The sequence below is a fragment of the Homo sapiens genome, chromosome 6 (assembly GCF_000001405.40).
Source record: "Homo sapiens chromosome 6, GRCh38.p14 Primary Assembly".
Classification (NCBI taxonomy): Eukaryota; Metazoa; Chordata; class Mammalia; order Primates; family Hominidae; genus Homo; species Homo sapiens.
This window is the reverse complement of record NC_000006.12, coordinates 159,258,805-159,278,469: the sequence shown is the minus strand read 5'-3', so window position 1 is coordinate 159,278,469 and position 19,665 is coordinate 159,258,805. Positions and strand designations below refer to the sequence as shown.

Genomic DNA, 19,665 nt, shown 5'->3' with positions numbered 1-19,665 from the left:
AGTCCTGGCCTGGCCAGTGCAAGGGGATGGCAAAAACATGAAAAACAAGCTAGAAGCAGAGGGAGAAAGCAAACAGTCAATATAGGGAGCCATCCTGATCCCTTTTCTGGCCACCCCTTCCTTAGCCTGAGCACAGATCCCCCCACTGCTGGTGTCAACCTGGATTCTGGAGGACTAGGGAAAGTAGGAGTCTTCTGGGGGCCACGATGGCTCAGAAACATTTGCGTGGTTTCTTTCCTCAACTGTCCCATTTTTTGCCCCAACTGCAAGTCTTCTTTCCAACAGAAAGAAAGAAACATAATAGCCTTGAGCTACCAGACTTTTATATTCCAGGTTCTACTTTACAATGGCATATAAAGTACTTTGGCTGTTGGGTGTCAAATTTCTAAATGGAAAAATTATAAAAAATGAAAAACATGATCACAGAACTGGAAACAAACTAACAGAAGTCTATTGTCAGACACTGGGGCATTTTTGCCTGTCGGCGGGACTTCCTGGAGAAAATGACCCTGGCCTCCTTCATTCTGTTCCCTGAACGGATGTAAGCAGGGCCAGCAGGCTGAACGAAGTAGCACACATAGAAGAAATGCAGTCAGGGAGGCGAGCAGCAGGTTGGTTAAGGATCCGTCCTTCCAACGAAGAGTCATGTATGGAGCACCTGCTATGGGCCAGGCTGGATTAGATGCTAGGGACAAGACAGTGAACAAACAGCCTGACCTCAGTCTTCATGATCTTTACAATTTAGTAGGCCGTAAAAATTGGTCTGGCAAAGTTTTAAAAATGATCAAAATAAAAGTTAAAAATAAAAGTTTTTCTATTAATTTTTATGTTTTCTAAAAGTTGCCAGCAGTTTTCTGTCACTGGAGATAGGTACACTTTGTTTCAGGAAAAATCACACATTCGAGTCACACAAATACATGGTAAGATCCCAGACACTGTTTGGGAGGGAGCTGAAGCCTGATTGGGCCACCTGTGGTGGGAGGTTCTTGTCCCTCCCCTGTCCTCTCCATGCCTGGAGCTTGAAGGTGGCTGATTGGTGGGGTGAACGGATTTGGATTGGATTCACCCTGTGGGTAAGACCCCCTCCCTTAGGTATCCAAGGCATAGCAACACAATGGAAAGTGGGCTAGTCCTGCTGAGTGCAGAGGTGAGGAAGTGAGCATTACTTTGTCATTGTTTTGAAAATTGCACCTGAGGTTTTTAAGTCCCAGTCATTTTTGGTGCTCCGGCCATAATCGCCTCCCTTCTCCCAGCCACACAGTGTCTGAGGCCTCTGCAGGAACCGAGCATTTGACGGTCCTCTTTGTTGTCTTCAGGGCCCACTTGCCTATGGTACTACTCATGTTCTACTCATGTTCATTCACTTTCACCACCTGACCCCTGACACACTGGCTGCATGTTTTCTGTCTGCTCCCACCTGGACACAGGCTCCATGAAGGCAGGGGCCCTGCGTATTTAGGCAAGGGCCCTGTGTATTTCTGTGCCACGGTATCTCAAAATGTGTCTGGCATATATTTTGGAGTCAGTTGACACTTGCTCGGTGAATTAGAGGAGTAACGTGTCACCAACTCTGTGTTCACTGCCGGAGCCTCCATGGACCCCTGAAGGAAGGCAGGCACCCCACCCTCCTGCTCGCACGACAAAGGGGTGGGGAGGAAGAATGGGGGTTGGGCAAGCCGAGAGCCTCATGGGCTCACCACAGCCATCTGCATTCCGCCCCATCCAAGAGAGGCAGGAAGGAGTGGTCTGCAGGGCCTCCCAGGAAGCCCAGCCTGGCATCCAGTGCGCAGACTTCGGGGAAAGGTCTCCTCGTCCACTGCTCCTCTCAAGTCTTACCTCAACCCCACAACAACCCCCAAAGCACTCACTTACTCCCACTTCCGCCCTTACACATTCTCCTCAGCGTGTTTAGGCTTTTGAAAGAAAAGTCTGAGGAGAAAGTGCCATTCAGGTACCATCTGTTTTCACCTCAACGCACCACATCTCCTTAAACAAGGGGTGAGAAGGCCCGGCTGCTCTTCCGGAGCGGGGAAGGGAAAAATCCAGGCAAGAGAAAGTTCAAGAGGACAAGCTGGTGAACGCTGCCAAGTGCTGCTGAAAGACCAAGACAGAACAGACTGCCCAGCAGCCACCGGATTCAGCTCCCATGGGTGACTGGGGACCTGGGAGAGTGAGGGTGTGAGGAGGTGGCCCTGGAAACCATGGCACAGTGGAGTGAGAAATGAATGGGATGTGGAGGAGAGTCAGAGCTAAAACAAAGGTGATGATTCCAGAAACTCAGATCAAAGTGGAGGACAGCGTGATAGGAGCTGAAGGGGCAGGAGTGATGGGGAGACTCGAGCACGACTGAATGTTGGGAGAGAATCTTTAAAGAGGGAGATGCTGAAGTCACAAGGGGTCAAAGTGTCTGAGTCTCCCATGGGGGCCAGGCACTCATCTTGGCCTGAGGGGGCGGCTTTCTGCAAGAAGGTGCAGGGATGAGCACAGATGCAGGTTCCACCGAGGAGAGCTACAATTTGGTGGCTCCAATTTGCTTTGCAAAGTGAGGTCATCTCCTGGAATTTAGAAGGGAAGTAAGGGATGGAGGAGAGGCTGACAGAGTAGAGTTGGAGGACGGGGGTACAGAGAGATAAATCCTGTGGAAACTACAGGGAGGTGGGGAATCAGAGAAGGGATGGCAGGAATTTAAGGCGTTCACAACACGTGAGGTGTTCCAGCAACATGGGACGATTCTATCCATGGAATCATTTTGTCATTGTGCCCAATCGACTAGGAACTCTTTCCTTGCCCAGATAGGCAAACCCATTCTAACCCCACTCCTCCTCACATTCTCAAATCCCCCACCCTCTCGAACTGACCGAGATATGTAGCTTGAACAGGTCAAAGGAGGAAAAATAAGTCAAAACTCATCTGGTAAAAGCTGGGAATTATCAACTATTATTAACAAAATGGTTATACTGGAGATGAACGATCCCTCGTGAAGAGCATGCCACTTCCTGAGACCGCCCCACAGGCCAGGGACTGACCAAATAGGAACTTGGCAACCCAGGATCCAACCACAAAACACAGAGCTCAGGTGTTCGGCACTGGGAGGTGATGGTGAAAATAAAGATAATTTAAGTAAGAGAAGAGGGAACAGACATCTGTTAAGTAGTTTGTGCTCATTTTTAAATTAGGACATAGCTTAAACTTTTTTCAAACATCAAGAAAATGCTAATCTGTGGGTACAAAAACTTTTTTCTTTTTTCTTTTTTCTTTTTTTTTTTTTTTTGAGATGGAGTCTTCCTCTGTCTCCCAGGCTGGAGTGCAGTGGCGCCATCTTGGCTCACTGCAACCTCCACCTCCTGGGTTTAAGTGATTCTCCTGCCTCAGCCACCCAAGTAGCTGGGATTACAGGCACGCGCCGCCATCCCCAGCTAATTTTTTTGTATTTTTAGTAGAGATGGGGTTTCACCATGCTGGCCAGGATAGTCTCGATCTCCTGACCTCATGATCCGCCCACCTCGGCTTCCCAAAGTTCTGGGATTACAGGTGTGAGCTACTACGCCCGGCTAGGTACAAAAACTGTTTTCTAAAGGACCAAACAGTAAATATTTTAGGGCTTGTGAACATCATGTGGCCCCTGTTGAACACTATTTAGCTGCTTTGCTTACAACCCTTTAAATAGGTTTAAAAAAATAAAAAATAAAAAATAAAAAACATCCTGAGCTCACAGGCCATAGAAACAAGCCAGGGGCCTCAAGTTGCAGGTTTAGACATTTCCAGTTATATTTAGTCTTTCAGGGACAGACATCTCACCGTTTCCCAAGGAGGCTCACTTGATAGTTGGATCCTTCTAAAATTCTTTGTCATATTGGGCCAAGTTTTGTTTTCCTGATTCCCACTTGTATCTACTTCTGACCTCAAGGGTTGGCAAACTGTCCTCTTCCTCGCAGGCTTTTTAAATAGATGAGATTTTCCCTCTTTAGGTAAACATTCCCACCAAGTTCTTCCTAACTTTATACGAAATGGCTTTCAAACTTCTTACTAACTTGAATGTCTCCTTGGCATCTCGCTGCAAATAGCCTTCCTAAAATGTGGCTTCCAGAATTTACACGGTACTGGAGATTTGGTTAATTTGGGCAGAATATTGATAATCAATCTTACCACCTATGCTCGGATGCATTGTTTTTGTCTTTGTTTTGGCAGCTCTTGTCACCTGGGAATTACAGTAATTTTCATCTAAAATTGCAAACATTTATTTTTAATAAAAGTTCAAATTTCTGTAATCAAATACAGCCTAAAGATGTCAGGCCGAGCTCAAAAATCGTTGCATGAGTGCATGCCAGTGAATTCTTTGTATTTCTGTGAAGTAAGCATAAACTCCTCTCAGGGGTGGCGAATCACAGAGGAGCAGTCACTTGTGTCTCTATGTTGAGCCCTAATGCCCACCTCTTCCAGTGGGGCCCCATAGCCAATACAGGATTGTTAGGCAGACCAAATGGCTCTTTTCTCATGCATTCTGAGTTATTTAGACCCAAGAAAACATTTGCAGGAAATGAGCAATCTGCTGGTGGATGCTGAAATGGTTTGGCTCTGTGTCCCCACCCAAATCTCATCTTGTAGCTCCCATGATTCCCACATGTTGTGGGAGGGACCCTGTGGGAGATTATTGAATCATGGGGCAAGCCTTTCCTGTGCTGTTCTCATGATAGTGAATGAGTCTCACGAGATCTGATGGTTTTAAAAATGGGAGTTTCCCCCCACAACCTCTCTTCTCTTGTCTGCAGTCATGTGAGATGTACCTTTCATCTTCTGCCATGATTGTGAGGCCTCCCCACATGTAAGTCCAATAAACCTCTTTCTTTTGTAAATTACCCAGTCTCAGGTATATCTTTATCAGCAGTGTGAAAACTGACTAATACAGATGCTGACACAGATATTTGGAGGGAGAGGAGATAAGGGAAGCAAGTAATGTGCTTATTAAGAAATTCAGTTATACTTAAAGATCTTATCTTTGGCTTGGCATTGCAAGCATATTTGAATGTGGATTAGTGTGAAAAATAGGCCATCTCCTTCTTGAAGTCCCTTTTTATGTATAAGAGACCCCAAAGCTGCTTAAAGATTCCTACTCTATTTTCCAAACTAAAACGTGGGTAACAGATGATCTGTCTCCCTAAGGAATTCTAGTACTTTTCCACGAGGTCAGAATGCTTGTATTTTCTTTACTGCTGTTGACTGTAGAAAGGAGATTGTAGAATATGAGGAAAATATCAGACATCATGGATCCGTCACAAAGACCCTGCAAAGTTACTTCTGTCTTTGTACATTTTACCTTCAAACCTACCAGACACATTAGGTTTCACCTCAATTCAGTGCTGGCACTGATAATAATCAACTCCAGGAGCGGGAACTGCATTCTGCAGTTGAATGGGTTGCATAGGGGTGCAGTCCAAAGGTCCCAGAAAAGCAATTGCCTCCAGCCCATTTCCACCATTGCTGCTCTTCTGCTGACAGCTTTGTGAAAGAAGATAAGCCCTTCAAGGCACTGTGCCACCTTAGGGACAGGGACCAGCCACGCTCATGGAAAGGACAGCATGTTTTAAAAATAATCAGAATGAGGGCTGGGCACGGTGGCTCACACCTGCAATCCCAGCACTTTGGGAGGCTGAGGCGGGCAGATCGCCTGAGGTCGGAAGTTCAAGACCGGCCTGACCAACATGGAGAAACCCCATCTCTACTAAAAATATAAAATTAGCCAGGTGTGGTGGTACATGCCTGTAATCCCAGCTACTCTGGAAGCTGAGGCAGGAGAATCGCTTGAACCCAGGAGGCGGAGGTTGCGATGAGCCAAGATCATGCCTTTGCACACCAGCCTGGGCAACAAGAGTGAAACTCCGTCTCAAAAAATAATAGTAATAATAATAATCAGAATGAAATATCTTTAAATAAACCCTCTTGTGCTACAGTCAAGAGAGGCAAGATGCTTCTATTTCAATGAGCAGATGTTGAGCTAAGAAGGAAAGACAAAGGGAATTCTTAAAAACAAGACTTTTAAATCATTTAGGATCTAAAATCTTTATCCATCTGGAACATACTGGATATGCCTCCATGGCGGCAACAAATATATTTTCCCCGTGGATGTGGAAAGATCGTCGCCTCAGGTGGAAAGCACTTGGTGTGCAGTGGTCAATGGTGTGGCCAGTTCTAGTACTGATACTGATGGTATCTCATCCTCCTCATCATTTCAGAGCCCCGCAGCACCCACAAAAAGAATGCATACCTTCCACTGTTGCTAGAGTGTGCATAGTATGTATCCCTGGATACTTCTAAAAGATGTTAATACACAATACTTTTGCCCAAAAATTCCCACACACATTTATCTGGTGAACAAGTACAAATTTAGCAATTTTAATCAATATTCTTGCAGACAAGTGTGGATATGTATATGCATATATACATATATATATCAAAATTGAGAATTTACAAATAAGATTTGATACATTTATTCTAGCAGTGGGTAAGTCCATAGAGTAAATTTCAAGTAGGATATATTTATTTTCTTTGGTGGTGTTTTTAATAATTCCTTTCTACTGCATACAAAGGGACCTGAAGCTTAAATTCAGTTAGTTTTGGAGAAATCCAAAATGAGAAAAACAGAAAGCATGTAGCATTCCATGAAGCAAGAACAGCGTGCATATGCTATTCCTGGAAATACTGAAGTGTCCGAATTTCATGCCTAAAAAGTCTGGAAATCACACTGAATCAGTTGCTGGTTTCTGATGTCTCTGGGATGTGCTATTACAAACAAACAAAAAAAAGTAGAGAAGCAAAGTTAACAGCAAAACTGAATCCTGTTCATTGTCCAGGCCAAGAAGTGGGACTGAGTTCCAGACTGAGATGACCAGAATGGCCAGTGTCCATCTATGACCTTCCTGGCACCTAGGGCAGCGGGGCTGAGCACGCTGGCTGTCTTTGCTCACAGCCCCTAGTGCGACTTAGTTGGTGGGGCTGGGCAGGGCAAGCTTGCAGCATGACGGTCCTGTGATTACCACTTTCCAGGGATGGAGACCCCACACTCGTACCAGCCCACATAGTAGTAGGGGGTTCCGAAGCCGATGTTCCCAAACCTGACAGGCTCCTGACGATACTGGCGATAGTAGCCTGGAAGGGCAACAGGAGAGGGGAAAAGCGTCAGAGGCCCCTGAACCAACAGGTAGAACTCATCCTTACAGCCTCCTTCAGACAGAAGGCCTCTGATAAGTTGTTCTTGTGACAAAACGCTACTTTCAAATAAACTGAACCATTTTTGTGTGTGGTTGCCATAGCCCTGGGGAAGGGCCAGGACCTCGGGCCCAGCCCCAACCCCAGCCTGGGGTGGGGTCTTCCCCACCTGTCTCTTATGCCTTTTGGGAAAGCCCAGCTGTAACTCAGGGGCCATGCTGGAGCTGGGGACCAGCTCAGGCCTCCTCCATAGGAACCCAGTGACTAAGTGTAAAGTATTTCTTTATCCCAAACAGATCTGTAGAGATCGTCCAGTCCCCACACATGTGTGACACAGCTAGGATGGCATGATCTCTCTCTCCCCATGGAAGAAGATAATTTTAGCCAGTTGCTAGTCAGCACTCACTACTGGGCAGGCCCTGACCTGGATGGATGACATTGAGCCAGATTCCTGCCCCATTCTTACAGAGCTCAGGGCCCCCAACTTACCTCTATCCTCCAAGGCTTAATTCCTGGACTCTGGGGTAGATTTTTAGACCTTTCAAGGAAATCTCTCAAAAAAAACCTGTAGCATTTCTGACCATTTCTCCCTTGAAGTAGGAGGGATGCTCCAACCTTCTAAAAATTTTTCTGGAAACTCAATAACTGCTCTCACACTCTTGGCCCTGTTTACTTTTGCCAAATAAATAGCTGCCTGCCCTTCCACCAGTGAGTGTGCTGAATACCCAGCAGCTCTGTTCAGGGCCAGTCCCATGACCACAGTCACAGGGACACCATGGAATATGGATAATGCAGGCACTAGTAACCCTGAGGGACTGTAAGACCCAGAAAAAAATGAAGAAAGGTGATATAGTTTGTAGATTTGTTGTAATAGTTAATTTTATGTGTCAACTGGACTAGGCTATATATCTGATCCAACATTAAATGTTTTTGTAAACTATTTCTTAGATGAGATTACCATTTATTATTGTATTTCTTTTCTTTATTTTGGAGATAAGATCTTGCTATGTTACCCAGTCTGTTGTCCTCTTGCAGTGGGGCCACAAAACCAAGACAGACTTGCAGGACAGACCAAATGGCTCTTTAACCAAAAGGCAGCCTAGACCTCTAGATCACTAGGTCACCTCTAGGTCACTGCAGCCTAGACCTCACCAGCTCAAGCAGTCCTCCCATCTCAGCCTCCTGGGTAGCTGGGACTACAGGCATGCACCACCACACCTGGATAATTTTTTTACTTTTTGTAGAGATGGGGTCTCACTATGTTGCCTAGGCTGGTCTCAAACTCCTGGGCTCAAGCAATCCTCCCACATCAGCCTCCCAAGGTGCTGGGATTACAGGTGTGAGCCACAGTGCCTGGCCAAGATTAACATCTAAATCACCAGACTGACTAGAGCAGGTGACCCTCCATATTGTGGGTGGGCCTTGTCCAATCATTCAAAGGCCTGAATAGAAAAAGACTGAGGTTCCCCTAACCAGAGGTAACTCTGCCTGCAAGTGGCCTTTGGATTTGAACTGCAACATCAGCTCTTCCCTGGATCTCCAACCTGACAACCTACCCTGCAGATTTTGGACTTCAGTTTCCACAATTGTGTGAGACGGTTCTTTAAAATAATAAGATAGATAGATAGATAGATAGATAGATAGATAGATAGATAGATAGATAGATAGACAGACAGACAGACAGACAGATAGGATAGATGGATGGATGGATGGATGGATGGATGGATGGATGGATGGATGGATGGATGGATGCATGGATGGATGGATAGATAGATAGATAGATAGATAGATAGATAGATAGATAGATAGATGTGAATAGGTAGATAATGGATGGATACCTACATACATACATACATACATACATAGACAGATGGATAGATATATGGATGGGCAGATGGATGGATACCTAGATAAACAAATGGATAGATAGATAGATAGATAGTTAGATAAATAGATAGGATAGATGGATGGATGGATAGATAGATAGATAGATAGATAGATAGATAGATGATAGATGGATAGATAGATAGATAGATAGATAGATAGATAGATAGATAGATATGAATAGGTAGATAATGGATGGATACATACATACATACATACATACATAGACAGATGGATAGATAGATGGATGGACAGATGGATGGATACCTAGATAAACAAATGGATAGATAGATAGATAGATAGATAGATAGATAGATAGATAGACAGATAGATAGATACCTAGAGGTGGGTGGATGGATGGATGGATGGATGGATGGATGGATGGATGGATAAATAGATACATGGATAGGTGGATAGATAGATTGAAGTATGGATAGATAGATGATGGATACAGAGATAGACAAGCAGATGAACAGATGGATGGATAGATAGTTATAAATATAAGGATAGACAGTATGGATAGATAGATAGATAGATAGATAGATAGATAGATAGATAGATGAATAGATAGATGAATAGATAGATACACACATACATAAGTAGATGTGTAGATAGATTAATAATAGATACATGGATGGATGATAGATAGATAGATAGATGGATGCATAAATGGATAGATAGATGGATGGATGGATAGATAGATGGATAGAGAGATGGATGGATACATACATACATACATAGATGGATAGATAGGTAGTTGAGTAGATAGATATAGATAGATGATAGAGAGAGAGAGACGGATAGATGGATGGGTGGATAGATAGAGAGAGAGATCCTATTGATTGTTTCTTTGGATGAGAGAACCTTGACTAATATGCTTATTTTACTCTTTTCTGTATTTTACTGTATTTTATTTTTTGAAAATGGGTAATTCATGTAGCTACCTACAGCATTTTTTCGAATCTAAAAATTTAGCAAATCAGAACATCTCATGTCTGGAAAATACCTGATCACTCAGAGCTGAGTGCATAATCAAAAGGGTGCTAGACTGTACTCAGTTGTTCTGTTTATTCATTTGGAGGCCGAGAGAGTTAGTAACATTAATTGTTAACCTTTGAGATTAGTGTATTTTGTCTTCACCTTATAATGCCACAATCAAATAGCTTATACGTTACCTCCTGAAACATATCACGGTGGGTCTGCATGTGTGTTTATCTTTGCCTTCTCTGTACCTTTGTTCATGCCGTTCCCCACCTCCTTGAGACTCACCCCCTCACCCATGCATAATAGAAGTATTTTGTTGATTCTTTATTTTATTTATTTTTATGACCTTAAGTGCTCCCAACATCCATCTTCGAATGACAAGGCAAAGGCAGACCTACTGTGGATTTTCCCCCTCTATTAATCCTTGTCTCCCACCTCCTAGGATAATATATCAGGCATTTGTTTGTATTACCTTGAATAGTAGGGAGGGCTTCTACATAGGACTGAGGCCCTGTTCTTCCATCAAGGTGTGAATCCACAAATTGGCAATGGTCTTCACCTCTTCCCCAGCTGTCTCCAATGCTGTAGAATGTATCTGCATGAAGGAATTGATTGAGTCCATGACTAGGTACAGAAAGTCACAACTGGTTTAGGAGTTTTTTTGCACAAGCTTTGGAGACTGTTTGAATTCAGCATATTACTTAAACTGTGTGTGCTGTATTTTTCATGTCTGAAAATGGTGATAATGGCACCAATCTCATAAAGGTTGTAAGAATTCAGCAAGATCAAAGTATGCTAAATACTTAATGAATGTCCAGTAAGTTGGAATTACAGCATTAACACTATAGGCAGTTTCGAGTAGACTTTTCTATTCCTTAGTTCTAAAAAAAAAAGGAATGATGAAAACTATGATAGTTGGAGAATACATCATGAAGTTACTATGAAAGGCAGGAAGGTCTATACAAATAGAAGAATCTATTTTCATGTGTAACTAGGAGGGGGCGGGCCTGTGGCATGAGACGCTGTCCATGGTCCTGAGCCATGGCTGCACAGTAGGACAAACTTGTTTCTCCCAATTCTGGGATATGACACATGGTTATGCAGCCTCTCCTAGGAATTCTGAAGCAGGGGAGGAAAAGGACAGTGATGGAAGAGAAAGAAAAGAGCAGAGAGAGAGAGAGAGACAGACCGTACTTGTTGGGAGAAGCATATACACAGAAATTGCTAGGGTTGGGGTCGAAGGAGGGACTTTGTTTTGATAGTTTTTAAATGATCACTACTAACAAGAAAAAGAAAAACAACAAAAAATGCCCAAAATATATTTTTGACCAACAACAAAATGTAGACCAGCTGAGGTAAAGTTTTAACAATGTATACACTGAAAAATTTAGAGTTGTGCAAGTTTAAAAATAAAAAACAAATTTGCTGTGTCGGTGGGTCAGTGAAAAGCCAGCTGAATAGAAATCGCATTAGGAAGTGTTAGCAGCTCAAAGCACTCGAATTATTCTTTGTTTTAATCTCCCACCATGATAAAAACAATGTGATTTTTATTAGGACACAGAACAAATATTACTGCTGATATATGTTCCACCATTTACATTTTTTCTCTGTAAAGTTGTGGCTGTGTCAGGGGCTGGAGAGGAAACTTTTCCTCAATTATTCCAGCTCACGCTCGTACTCATTATTATTGTATTAGTGGCAAAAAAAAAAAAAAAAAACCCTAGATTTCTAATAGAATTTTGGAATGACATAGCCAGTCACTATGTCATTCCTAAGACATAGTGAATTTTTCATTTGTTCATTTTTTATTTCTTTTTAGTAGAGATGGGTTTCACCATGTTGGCCAAGCTGGTCTTGAATTCCTGATCTCAAGTAATCCACCCACCTCGGCCTCCCAAAGTGCTGCGATTACAGGTGTGAGCCACTGTGCCCGGCCAACATAGTAAACCTTTTAAAATATTTTTGGGTTGCCAGTGTAAAAACTAGTATCCTCAAAGTAGAATCTGTAAAATTGGTTTGTATTAGAGGCAGAGTGAGCCATAGTCGTAGCTCCAGCCCTCATAAACATTCCGATGCACCTGTGGTGCCAAGTTTGTACTTGATAAATCAAAATGTTCCATACCTCCCATAGCCAACCATGCACAAAGACTTACCTTTCAGGTTGTCACTGAGGTAGATTTTATACCTCAGTGAATTACAAAGAACAACTCCCACGAACTTTCGATACCACGTGCGCTTCACATATTGCCGTCCATGGCAGTCCGTGTAGCTGGGATCATGTTTGAAAGCGAATGGGATCCAGATAGGCTCACCGCCTTGACAACACAAAACACACCTGCTAAGGGTAAGCACTCCACAGTGTGTCTTCTCACACAAAGTGCCAGGAAATTGCACTGACTTCCTGGGCCTTCCTTTCCTTACAGGGCTTTTTGTTTGTTTGTTTGTTTGTGTTGTTGTTTGTTTGTTTGTTTTTGATGGAGTCTCGCTCTGTCACCCAGGCTGGAGTGCAGTGGCACGATCTCGGCTCACTGCAACCTCCACCTCCCGGGTTCAAGGGATTATCCTGCCGCAGCCTCCTGAATAGCTGGGATTACAGGTGCACGCCACCACACCCGGCTAATTTTTGTATTTTTAGTAGAGACGGGGTTTCACCACATTGGTCAGGCTGGTCTCAAACTCCTGACCTCGCAATCCGCCCACCTTGGCCTCCCAAAGTGCTAGGATTACAGGAATGAGCCACCGCGCCCGGCCTTGCAGGGCTTTTTTGAGCAAAGTTTTCCCGCCCTCCTTCTCTTTCTTTGTGTTTTTTAGTACTAAAGTACATTTGGGCCGTTCCATTTACCTGAACGTATTTAAAGTATACACATTTCAATAAGGGATTCTCAGAGTTAAGAAGTCTTTAAACGGCAAGGAAAATAAGCTGTAATGGCAGATTTGGTCTTTTGGGGCATGCCATCCTGTCCCCAGGTCCCTCTGCATAGACTCCACTTCTTGCCACTCAGAAGACCTGATTTGCAGTCAAGCAACAAGGTTTTCTCAATTTCCTTGAAAAACAACGTAAAACTTGCTGTTTTACTTGTTGCACTTTGCTACCTTTTCAGTGATTTAAAATATTCAAATGGTCATGAAAATAAAGTATCTGTTTCATAGGACTGGCTACTCCATAGTGTTTTTTCATAGATGTTGATTGCTATGGCTCTATTTTAAAATTCCCAGGTCATTCTTTCCCACAGAGTAAAGAAGATCAGGATGACGAGTGCAAGGAAAGCATAGAAGTTGACAGAAAATTGTGAAAATGGTCCAGACTTTCTAATTGTGAGTAATCACAACAATCTCATATTCAATATTCAACTTGATTACCAGAATGTCCAGATTATCAAGAACATAAACTTACCTGGGGGCCTCACAACAAGCAGAGGATTATCTGTAGAATGAAAAAGAAATAATGGACTCTGTGCCATATTTCACAATCATGCAATTCTTTAAATGGTTAGTGTAACTGAAATAGCTAACCAAATTAGAATAAAGAAAAAGATAAGGTTTGATAGATGCCAACGTTTTCCTTGGTTTTATTTTCTAAACATTTCCTTTTGAGAAATACTGTTTTCTAGTTAGAGTGTGTTGCTATTTACCTAGAAGCTGTGGATCCCTGAAAATAGTAAGGTTTTGGTATTATGTATTACAAAATAATTCAGTACTCATTTAAAAAAATTGTCTACCTTTAGAAAATAGTGTGGTGGTTTCTTAAAAAGGTGAGCGTACACCTACTACAAAATCCATCCATTCCACTCAGTCATTTATCCAAGAGAAATGGAAACATATGTCCATCCAAACACTTCCACATAAATGTTTATAGCATCTTTGTTTGTAATAGTCAAAAAGTTGAAACAACACAAGTGTTTATCAACAGGTGATCTGACTAGGTAAACAAACTGTAGCACAGCCATACAAGGAAATACTGCTCACTAGTAAAACAGAGTGAACTACTGATACACACAATGTTTTGGATGAATCTCAAAATGATTATGCTAGGTGAGAGAAGCCAGTCAAAGGAGTTCATACTGTATGAGTCTACTGATACCCAAATCTAGAAAGTGCAAACTAATCTATAGTGACAGGAAGCAGATGAATGTTTGCCTATAAACTAGAGAGACAAGGACCCTGGGAAAGCTGCATTGCACAGTAGCAGGAGGAAACTGTCCAGCAGATGGATATGCTCACTATCTTGACAGTGACAATGGCTTCATGGGTATAAGCACAACTCAAAATACATTAAGATGTACACTTCAAGTAGGTGCAGGTTACTGTATGCCATTTATACCTCAACAAATGTAAAACCTGTCTCTATCTTAGCCCAAGTAACACCACTTAAGAGAATATGACACTAGCTTTTCAAGGAATTCTGCTTTAGAAAAAGTTCTTTTTTTGTTTGTTTGTTTGTTTGAGACGGAGTTTTGCTCTTGTTGCCCAGGCTGGAGTGCAATGGCACAATCTCGGCTCACTGCAACCTCCACCTCCTAGGTTCAAGTGATTCTCCTGCCTCAGCCTCCTGAGTAGCTGAGATTACAGGCATGCGCCATCATGCCTGGCTAATTTTTTATTTTTTATTTTATTTTTATTTTATCTTATTTTATTTTTAGATGGAGTCTCGCTCTGTCACCCAGGCTGGAGTGCAGTGGCACAATCTTGGCTCACTGCAAGCTCCGTCTCCCAGCTTCACGCCATTCTCCTGCCTCAGTCTCCCGAGTAGCTGGGACTACAGGCGCCCGCCACCACACCTGGCTAATTTTTTGTATTTTTAGTACAGACAGGATTTCACTGTGTTAGCCAGGATGGTCTCGATCTCATGACCTCGTGATCCGCCTGACTCGGCCTCCCAAAGTGCTGGGATTACAGGAGTGAGCCACCGTGGCCAGCCAAAAAAGTTCATTTTTATAAAATGCCACGAACTAGGTAAATCTGGACCATTCTTTTTTTATTTTTGAAAAAAATATCATACAGTAAATTGCTGTTTTAGGATATGTATCCTATGAATGTTCACGCCTGCATCAGTTCATGGAATCCTGCCAAAATCAACCTGCAAAATGTTTCCATCACCCCCAAATCTCCCTAGGCTGTGCTTTGTACAGACCATTTGTTCTGATGTCCTCTGCTATCCACAAAATAGAGGGAAACACCATGGCCATAAGTGTCAAATGCTTGCTTTGCTCCCCTGCTCTGAACTGAAGTTCAGCAGTCTGCCAAAAAAGTCCCAAATACCCCAGGGCAGGTGGAGTGAAACAAACAAAATGACACCAGCACAGACGACAAAACCCTGAACTCATGGCACAGCCTGTGTCACACACTACGTTGACTTTCTATATTAATTTTCCAATTGTTATGTTTGGCAAATGCCATAATTCACTGACTTTATCATTTGCCTGTTGCTCGCCTAGCCATTTTCAGCAGGTTATCACAAAATGAAGGAGAAACTTGAATAAACTGATGGAATAAAGGAAGATGACCAGAGCAAGTTAATTGTCCAATTTTCATGTGTGTGAGGCTCCTCTGGGAGCTCATTGAAAGTGTTTCCTGGAGAGATTCTTATTCAGAGGGTAGGGTGGGGCCTTGAATTTTCCTCACCCATCCCTTGGAGGCCATAAAGAATGAGTTAGGAGTTTTTCTTGGAGGAGAAGGTAGAAGACAGCTGTTTTATCAAAACTTTAGATTGCAGCTCCAGAAGTTACGTGTATATCACTTTTACTCTCAGAAAGATTTCAGATCAGAGTTTCTTGATAGCTTTTTGGATTTGAATTTTTTTAAATATTTTTTTCACATTGATTCTGATAGTTGCCAAGGTCCACTTTGTTTTTAGAAATGCAGTCATAATCACAGACACATCCCTTACTTAAGCAAATTAACCACAGATAATAGTTTTCTCTTGCTGTTTCCTAATTACTAACAGAAACATATTTCTTAAACAAACAGATGAAAACATGTTTGAGGTCCTTTGCCTACATTTCTGGTATAAAGCATATTCTTACAAAAGATTTTATGTTTTCATTTATTTTGACTGAGTAGATTTTTAAATCATTACACTTAAAAATATCTTCCAATGACCCATTTTCTGGGCTCAGACTGCATGTAGAAGGTAACCTAGCCAAATGGAAGCTGGGTGCAGGGCTGGCTCAGCTGGGTTGCTCTGAACTCAGCCTGGCTTCCTACATGGAAAAGTCTCTAGGCCAAGAACTGTCACAGTAGCTGGCTCTGCATGTGCTACATTAGACCATAGGTCATAGGAACTATGTTTTCAGAGACAAGGTCTCACTCTGTTACCCAAGCTGGAGGGCAGTGGCATGATCATGGCTCACTACAGCTCAACCTTCTGGGCTCAAACCATCCTCCCTTTTCAGCCTCCTGAGTAGCTGGGACTACAGACATGCACCACTAGGCCTGGCTAATTAAAAAAAATTTTTTTTTTGTAGAAACAGGACCTCCCTGTGTTGCTCAAGCTGGTCTTGAACTCCTGGTCTCAAGAGATCATCCCACCTTGGCTTCCCAAAGTGTTGGGATTACAGGCATGAGCCACCACCCCTGACCAGGAACATTTTCTTGAAGGGACTGAGAGCTCTGCCCACCAGCACCCCAAAATGCAAGGGCATGCTCTGAATGATACTGCTTATAAGACTGAATGATACTGTAATTAACCTCTCAATATTAATTAAAGATATATCTGCCTTCTACTAAAGGGGGAATCCAATGTCTTGGCTCATTGGAAAGGCAACTTCCTGTCAGCCACATGACATGTGTGTTCTTCAGGTGCTTGCAATAATTTTTTTAAAACTCTGCAACTAAATTTTGTACAGATAGAGTCAACTTTATCTTTCTCATGTTGTTGAAATCTAGATTTTTTCCTTTCATTGGAATTTGACCTTTCTGTTCTTCAGAGAGCCCGTGAAAACTACTTTTAATTTTATTATCCAAGTTTTAACCTAGCACAAAGCAAATGATGTTTACTTTAGAAACTGATATCCAACATGAGCTCATTAAATAGAAAAGTAAGGATTTATTCTATTGTAGCCATCATGCTAGATTATTTATTTCATTTTCTCGAAAAGTAAAACAAATCAGAATGTGAAGTCATTCATACCTGATTCGGTGACAAATGAGACCGAAGGGCTGATAGGTCCGTAGCCATGAGGATTTTGTGCTTGCACTTTAAAATAATACCTGAAGTTGGAAGAAGATATATTTTGAAAGAGACATGTATTTGATTTCTGTGTAACAAAACAGACTCCCAAACTACTGAACACCTGAACCGTGACAGGCTTTGAGTTCTACTTTTTACAAATGCATACAGCACTAGTGATTCTTCATGTCTTTTTCTGAACTTTCTCAGTTTTGAATAAATTCTCTAAATAATACAATTAACATAGCAGGGACACATGGCTAATGGCAGTAGAAGGGACATATTAGAACACAGGTTGCTTGCTGAGCACGCGTTCCTTTGCATCAGGACTGTCCCTGCTCTGCGCAGACTCGCCTGAGCTCATCCCTGGTGAGACGTTCCTCTAGCCCTGCTCTTGCTCAGGTTTAAGACTCTGGACTCCGCTTCAGTCCCACAGCCCAAGAGAGAGAGGGTGGTGGAGCAAAACACTACAAAGCAGAATTCAAATTATAACCTAATTATATCCCTGGAGTCCATGCAAAAGAGCAGGACGTTTGCTCCAGCAGCCACGCAACTTATGGTTGACAGGGAGAGGATGAACCTGGCTGGAGGCTGCCTTTTCAGTGAAGCTAACATGACAATGGTATATTGGGTGCATTGAGAAACACTGTGGTTGGCTCTGGAGCTGGGAAGGGACCACCTTAAAAGTCACTGAGTTACGAGCTTCTGCGCCTCAAGGAAAGAGAAACAAGTCCAAGAAGGGGAAGGGGGAAAGATCCGGAGAGAGAGGCTTTTCTGTAGGGCTAAATTTTGTCTTGGAACAGAGAATGTGCTGGAAAGCATGATGCCTGAGTCAACTAGCTCATCTGGAGAGAGACTGAGTCTCGAAGCATGTTATTTGCATTCTTACAAGCAAAAGAAAAAGAATGGTGGTTAGAGAAGTAATAAAGACCAACACCACATTTGTGTTCCACTATATCTTAATCTTTGTGCTTTCCTCACCTCTTGATTCTAGATATTTTATGTGCTTTTTTAGTGCTTAGCTACTTACAGATGAAGAGAGAGGTAAAGAATCCCTGGTGGCTCTGTCATTTTAGAGAGCTCATAAGGGACCTCTTATCTGGCTTTTGGCCAGTAAGAATGTCACACTTAAATGTTATAAAATTCTTTATTTGATTAAGTCAGGCACACAAATTCCATGTACTAATTAAAATGCACTACATTTTTAAAAAGCGAATTATTCCTATTCAGAGAGCAAAGGGTTATTAGGCCTATTGCACCAACAGCCTTGGCCTCAAGCCTTCTGAGCTGCTGGATCACCAAGGCAGTCTCTGGCCTCAGAACAGAGATACTTTACTTTGAGTTTGATTAAACAGAAAGCAAAGAAAAGCCATTGGGTAAAATTAGTCTTCCTAAGCCATTTGCATCTTATTTAGGAGTATTCTTTTTATTGTAATTTAAATAAAAAGATATGCACAATTAAGAACATATGAGTTTCCAAATCTCAATTCACTCAGCAGCTCATGTTTTCCCAGTTACATGTACTTTTATGCAGTGGTTGTGGAGTTATTTAAGGCAAAACTCTGCAGGCAGTTTGAGCAGTGGGTTTGGCATACATTTCCAGTCCTGGGCAAACTTTACAGATACTTTTTTTGAAAAGGAAATTAAAACATAAGGAAGGATGCATACTCAGGGGCTCCATGGGACACTTCTGCTGAGTAGTCAACGTCAAGGAGGGAAGTGCCTCTATGCCATCAAGGAGGTGGCAGAAGGGTGACTGACGGGCTGAGAACCACTATTCAGATGGATCTGTTTGTATCGATTTTGTTTTGACACTAAAGCCTAAATATTCTCCAAATCCACCTTCCCTGTTGACACAATGATTCTAGGCCTCCAGAAACTCACATGTGACCATTCCAAAGACATATTCCCATTAAAACCTCACCTAAGCTATCAAAGTAAATTTAAATATGCTGAGCTGAAAAACAATATGAAATTAAGCAAAAAGTAAAATTCCATTTTTAAAACCTACATGAAACTTTTTTGATGGGCTAAAGTATACATTTCATACTCTGAATAGTCTCTGCCTCAGCCAAGTAACAAAAGCAATCCATGCCTCGCCTTCTTATATAAGTTTCTGGCACCTTCTTTTGAACAGCCTCAATCATGACAAGTCTGTGTGTTTTAAGTATGGATTTAAAATATGCAGACTCCGAAGAGTTCTTTGGGACTCTGTCTGGTGACTAAGGTAGACAATGCTCACTTAAAGTCAAAAGCAAGATCCAATTGTAAATAACCAAAGCTCACTTTTATGCCCTGGCCCCTCTTTTGGGTAGACTGACTTCTGGTCTCCCCTGTATTGACTCAGAAGCTGGCTTCTCAAGAGAGCCCCCATGAAGACTGAGATGACGAAAGTGAATTCCCCAGATATGATCTGCATTCTAGTG

At 42.4% G+C, this 19,665-nt stretch overlaps 1 protein-coding gene across 3 annotated transcripts in view, besides 1 other annotated feature; it reads right to left on the bottom strand.

Moving 5' to 3' along the window:
• Window positions 1-6,361: 6,361 nt before the first annotated feature.
• Window positions 6,362-19,665, bottom strand: part of FNDC1 (fibronectin type III domain containing 1) — a 102,709-nt gene continuing 89,405 nt past the window's right edge. For all 3 annotated transcript variants that reach the window (NM_032532.3, XM_011536190.3, XM_011536191.3), the window contains 5 exons: window positions 17,201-17,280; window positions 13,466-13,495; window positions 12,225-12,386; window positions 10,544-10,666; window positions 6,362-7,143 (listed from right to left, as the gene is read on the bottom strand). In NM_032532.3, the coding sequence (NP_115921.2) occupies window positions 7,028-7,143; window positions 10,544-10,666; window positions 12,225-12,386; window positions 13,466-13,495; window positions 17,201-17,280 (511 nt within the window). In that variant the 3' untranslated portion in view covers window positions 6,362-7,027. The remainder of the gene's footprint in view (window positions 7,144-10,543; window positions 10,667-12,224; window positions 12,387-13,465; window positions 13,496-17,200; window positions 17,281-19,665) is intronic.
• Window positions 10,986-11,186: a silencer, noted in NCBI's record as "peak6281 fragment used in MPRA reporter construct". NCBI's record gives its function as "represses an SCP1 promoter by STARR-seq MPRAs in K562 erythroleukemia cells {active_cell/tissue: K562}" and the evidence as "EXISTENCE:reporter gene assay evidence [ECO:0000049][PMID:32103011]".